The sequence below is a fragment of the Homo sapiens genome, chromosome 2 (genome assembly GCF_000001405.40).
Source record: "Homo sapiens chromosome 2, GRCh38.p14 Primary Assembly".
Classification (NCBI taxonomy): Eukaryota; Metazoa; Chordata; class Mammalia; order Primates; family Hominidae; genus Homo; species Homo sapiens.
The window spans coordinates 199,487,786-199,494,194 of record NC_000002.12 but is presented as its reverse complement, the minus strand read 5'-3'; positions in this window follow the sequence as shown (position 1 = coordinate 199,494,194).

Below are 6,409 nucleotides of genomic sequence, written 5' to 3'. Positions count from 1 at the left end.
GCTGGCATAATGCTGGAGGAGTGCATGTGTGTATATGTATGTGTGTCTGGCTCATCTGTCATTCAGAAGCTCTGCTGATTTTTTTCCATGCCTTCTTGTGTCCTTACTACCCGTTTGTTAAGTACTTTCCAAAACACAGGGACACTGGAAAGAAACCAAACACCATGTATAACTAAAGCTAAGACACTGACTTTTCTTCTGGTCACATTTTCTGTGGACATAAAAACATGTGCCTGCACATGTGTGTACAGGTGTGCCCACACACAGATGCAGCTTAACACTTGGAACTTGAGCCCCACTACTGAGGGGAGGATCCTAGCACCAGATTTCTGACCTAAAATTTTATGTCAACATAAACACATTTATAAAAAAATACAATACTGGAAAAATTAGTAGCACCATTGAAATGAAAGTTATGAAACCTTATAGTCACAGGTCAAATTTCAATAAAAATTTCTCGACAGGCTGCTGTATATGAGGAGGTTGTATGAAAAGAAGTAATTCATTTCCTATCACTCAGTTGCTTGGACCAAAAATCTAAACTATACTCTGGCTTCTCTCTTTTCCAAGCCCTCAGTAACTGCTCTAGAATCTGCTGTCCCAAATAATGTTTAATCCAGACTCTGCTCACCACTTCCCTGCCACCCTCCTAGTCCAAGCCATCATCTCTTCCATGGACAATGGCAGGAGCCTCCTGACTGTTCTCTGTTTTTCTGCCTCCACCCCAGCTCCATACTGTCTATTCTCCACACAGCAGCCAGGATGACCTTCTTAAAAATTAAATCATGGCTGGGAATGGTGGCTCACATCTGTAATCCTAGCGCTTTGGGAGGCTGAGGCAGGTGGATCACTTGAGGTCAGGAGTTCGAGACCAGCCTGGCCAACATGGTGAAACCCTGTCTCTACTAAAAATACAAAAATTAGCTGGGTGTGATGGCTTGCACTTGTAATCCCAGCTACTTGGGAGGCTGAGGTGGGAGAATTGCTTGAACCCAGGAGGTGGAGGTTGTGGTGAGCCGAGATCATGCCATTGCACTCCAGCCCAGGTGATGGAGTGAGACCCTGTCTCAAAAAAAAAAAAAAAAAAAAATCAAATCAGATCATCCAATATCTCTCCAGCATGGCTCACAATAAAATCCAAACTCCTTACCATGCCTTCAGGCCCCTGCCCCTCTCTCCTACTTCATTGTCCACACTCTCCTCCCTGCTCATGCTACTCCAGGCATGCTGACCTGCTCATGTTACTTGGATCAGAACTAGTTCATGTCCAGATCAGGTCCTTTGCACTTGCTGTTTCTTCTGCTTGGATTCCTCCTCCTCCCACAACCCTCAATTTTGTCGTCAGAAATTCACTTGATTCGGGTCTCTACTCAAATGTCACTTCCTCAGAGAGGCCTTCCCTGACCTAAAATGTCATAGCTAGAATAGCAGAGATTCCCAACTCCTCACTTTGTTCCCTTGCCTATTTTTTGTGTGTGTGTTTACAGCCCTTTTCAGTAACCAACATTATGTTATTTATTTATTTATTTTTTAGAGACAGGGTCTTGCTCTGTTACCCAGGCTGGAGTGCAGAGGCATGATCATAGCTCACTGTAATCCCAAACTCCTTGGCTCAAGTGGTTGGAACTACAGGCACGCACTGCCATGCCTGGCTAATTTTTTAAATTATTTTGTAGAAACAGGGCCATGTTGCACTGGCTGGTCTTGAACTCCTGTGCTCAAGCTATTCTCCCACCTTGACTTCCCTAAGTGCTGGGATTACAGGTATGAGCCACCACACTGGCCTATGTATCTTGTTAATTGCTATTACCCTGATGCCAAGAACAGTGCCTGTCACATAGTAAATACTGAATAAAAACTTATGCTGGAAGAGCTCATGATCTATACTGAGAGGCAAGCTTGGAAACTATCATGATCATACAATATGATGTGTATACAAGGCGTTTGAGGAGCACAAGAGGATAGAGTCACTGGTGGAGTGTTTTCAGCTGGGTCTTGAAGGATGAGTAAGAATTTACCAGATAGAGGAGTCTACAGAGGACATTTCAAGCAGAAGAAATAGTGAATGCAAAGGCCCAGATATAAAAATTAAAATTGGGGAAAAGCACGTCATTTTATTGTTCCTGGATAGCGGGATGTGCTCAGCTCAGGCCCAGTAGTGACTTTCCAAGGAATTTGGAAGAGCCATTGGATTTTAATAAGGTAAAATAATCTTCAGTGTTTCAGAAAGATTCTGCTGGCAGCTGTATGGTGGTTAGTTTGAGGCAGAGAGGCTTTGCTGTCCTTCTGGACAGAAAGAAGCGGGAATGGTGAGAAGATAATGGATGGGAGGTGGATTTTGAGAGCAGATTGAGAAGGCTCAGTGACCTATCTGTGAGGGACAACAGAAAGGGAGGCAGAGGCCTGAAGATTTTTAAACTTGTGTGACTTGATGGCATTTATCCTGATACAAATGCAGAAAAAAAAAAAAAGCACACATTGAGACAGTAAGGAAGAGGAACAGTGGTCCTTCACATCTGCCAGTTTCCTTCTTCTCTGTGTCCTTGCGTAGCTGTTTCCTAATTTCTAGCCATTAGTTAAAAAATCACATGGTGCTGGGTTCACACCTGTTCTTCTTCCACCCACTGAGGCTTGGTTAGTAGGCCACACATGTGTGCCTGCTTCTCTCTTCCCTTGGGACTAAACCTCTCCCAGGCGACTCTTTATCCGTCTTGAAACTAGATTCCTAGCAATTCTACCCCATAAGGCGTGCTCAGACTCGCCAAGTCCCAAAAGGAGACAAGACTTAAGATCAAACCTGGACCTACCCCAACCACGTGTATAACGTGATCAGGCTTCTGGTCTGATTTGCATGTAATTTTTAAATTACTCAACTAAATACTTTCCAATTATTTTTAAAAAACTCAGAGAATACAGAAAGACACAAAGTAGACTTGAAAGACTCCTTGAAAAATAAAGGAAAGGCACAAAGTGGCCTTTCAAGTCTACTTGGTATCCTTCTGTATTGTCTTTTTCAAGCCCCCTCCTTGAAAAATTAAAAAATCCACTCTTTCTATCTTTTTGGCCAGGTACAGTGGCTCAAACCTGTAATCCTAGCACTCTGGGAGGCCGAGGCGGATGGATCACCTGAGGTCAGGAGTTCGAGACCAGCCTGGCCAACATGGTGAAACCCCATCTCTTCTAAAAATATAAAAATTAGCTGGGCGTGGTGGTGGGTGCCTATAATCCTAGCTAGTCGGGAGGCTGAGGCAGGAGAATTGCTTGAACCCGGGAGGTGGAGGTTGCAGTGAGCTGAGATTGCACCACTGCACTCCAGCCTGGGGGATAGAGCAAGACTCAGTCTCAAAAAAAAAAAAAAAAAAAAAGAAAAGTATCTTTTTCTTTTTTCGGTCTTTATTCTATGTAGTTACAAATAAATATATTATAAAATATTATATATATTCATATAGAAACAAGATATGGTTTTATAGGTTATCTTTGGGCTCAGGGTATTTTGAAACATTTTTTCCACTTAAAAATCTGTCTTTAGGCTGGGCTAGATGGTTCACAACTGTAATCCCAGCACTTTGGGAGGCTGAGGCAGGCAGATCACTTGAGGTCAGGAGTTTGAGACCAGCCTGGCCAACATGGTGAAACCGTGTCTCTACTAAAAATACAAAAATTAGCCGGGTGTGATGGTGCATGCCTGTAGTCCTAGATTCTCAGGAGGCTGAGGCACAAGGATCGCTTGAACCCAGGAGGCAGAAGTTGCAGTGAGCTGAGATCACGCCACTATACTCCAGCCTAGGCAACAGAGTGAGACTTGGTCTCAAAAAAAAAAAAAGAAAAAAAAATCTGTCTTCAAAGGTTTTCACATTAGTAAATATAAATCCACTTCTTTTCAAACTTCTGAATGCTATTCCATGGCAGAGAGACATGTTTGTCATTTAATCATTCCCCTCCTGACGGATACTTGGGTTGCTTCCAAGTTTTCAAGATTATAAACAGTGCTGCAGTGAATATCCTTGCACACCTTTTTTGGTATACATTTATTGAGACAGATCCCTGAAAGTAGAACTGGTGGACAGGCCTAAAGTTTAATTTTGCTATAAGACGCCAGTTTTCGAGTCTATTTTATTCGGTGCTTCCAGATAACAAGATTTGTAAAATTGTAAAGTAAGTTATTTCTTGACAGGATCCATCCTAAGGCTAACATTAATCCAGAAACAAACCCACCAGTGCCTCTGATAATTATGCTGTATCTCAGAAAGCTAGGAATACTTGGCCACAGGCACAGTTCTTTAAGCTTTTAAAGCTTTTCTGAGCCAGTTGTGGTGGCTCACGCCAGTAACACCAGCATTTTGGGAGGCTGAGGCAGGAGAATCGCTTGAGCCCAGGAGTTGGAGATCAGCCTGGGCAACATAGGGAGACCTCATCTCTACAAAAAATTAAAAAATTAGCCAAGTGTGGTGGTGCCTGCCTGTGGTCCCAACTACTTGGGGAACTGAGGTGGAGGGATCACTTGAGCCTGGAATGTCAAGACTGCAGTGAGCCATAATTGTGTCACTGCATTCCAGCCTGGGTGACAGAGTGAGACCCAGTCTCAAGAAAGAAAGAAAGAGAGAGAGAGAGAGAGAGAGAGAGAGAGAGAGAGAGAGCAAGCTCTTTGGGAAGCTGGGCAACCTAGCAAGACCCCACCTCTCCAAAAAAATTAAAAATTAGCCAGCACACCACTGCACTCCAGCCTGGGTGACAGAGCAAGACCCTGTCTCAAAATAAAAACAAACAAACAAACAAAAAAAGTAAGTAAAGCTTTTCTGGGGCCTGCTAAAAAGTTCGAGATCTGGAAAAATTGTTCCCTTCAATATATAAAACCTAGAGAACGCTAAAGTTAACACAGATTTATTAAATCCCTACAAAATTTATCATTGTGTCAATTTCATTAATATTACATTTAGTATTCATAAATGTTTCATTGTTGGAATTCTCTTTAATTCTTTCCCCAATCTGCTTTCCTCCCTAAGTGAGGGACCAACACCAACCCTCTTGGTTTCTCCTTACTGTATTCAGAGAAAAGATTCACCTAAAAAATAACTTAAGGTCTTTCTTTTTCTCCTCTTTATTTTGGGTGTCTTTCTAAGGAGGATTGCCTTCTGCTCCTCGTTTAGGAAGAAGGCAGCTTTAACCAGGACAACAGTTTGGGGACGGAGCTCCCTTCCCCAGGAGGGGGCAGTATTGAGGAGAGAACTGCATGTGGCCAGTGGCAAAAACTAGGGGAGAAATTCTTTCTTCAGTCTTCTGAGAGAGCCCATGGAAGACAGCGAGAACTTAGAGGGCAACAGACCCAATTCATTTGGTGGGTTGATAGGGCAGGGGCTGTGGGTCACAGGCTCCCTGTTGTGGGGATGAGGCGGCAGGCAATGTAAAGGATCTCCCTCTTGATGCAGCTTTCATTCTGAGTATCAAGCTCTTTTTTAATGTACTTGTTTTCCTCTAGTGCTTAATTCTTAGCAATGACATAGCATCCTGCTACATTTCATCATGAAAGTACTGTATTTCAGCAGCACTTTGGGTTAATCAGTACTGTCAGGATAGGCTGGGAGCCTAATCAACAATAGTGTTTCTATGAAGGATGACAGAATTAGTGAATGTAATCACCTCAAGTGTTTCTTGGCTCTGAATTTAATTCAACAAGCTCGTGTTGAGTACTTACCAAGTATCCTGCTAGACAGAGAAAACCCTGAAAATAGGGACCAGCTATTTATTTATTTATAAAATTTATTTGTTTATAAAATGCATTCAGGGTTTCCAACAATGGACTTACACAGGAACCTTTGGAACACCATCCATCCCTGACTGGGCACTCTTCACACGGGCCATGTATGGGACAACCAGACGTTTCTGTTTTCCAAAGAAGTTTGTGATTCCCTGGGAAATGTCCCAGGCCAGGGAGTTTTTTGTTCAAGGTTTCTCTGTAATAAGTACTGTGTGGGATACTTTATGGATTGACCTGGCTAAATTATGTTGTTTTTTTAAGCTGGTGATTTTGTAGTTTACAAAATGATCCACAGAGTTTGGCAGTTTGCAAGCCTTAAAAGCTTGAGATGCATTTCTAAGAGTACAAATATTCCCTTTGGCCATTTGGGCCACAAAACCCTGAAGGTTCCCTTGCTTGGAGATTGTTGGTGGTCTTCCTTTTCTGCAGCCTGGAGCTCTGCCTGGAGCCTTTAAAAGTGAAGTGGACTAAACTCTGTTAAAATTATATGAATTGCCTGACTACTCCTTACCCTTATCCCCATGAAAAGTACCTGATTGTTAACATCTCTTTATAGATATATCCAAGATGTAGTGACTTCAGTTTCTCCCTTTGCCAGACAATGGAGGTTGACTTGTGTTCTTCATTCTATAGTTCTCACCCACACATCCAGGA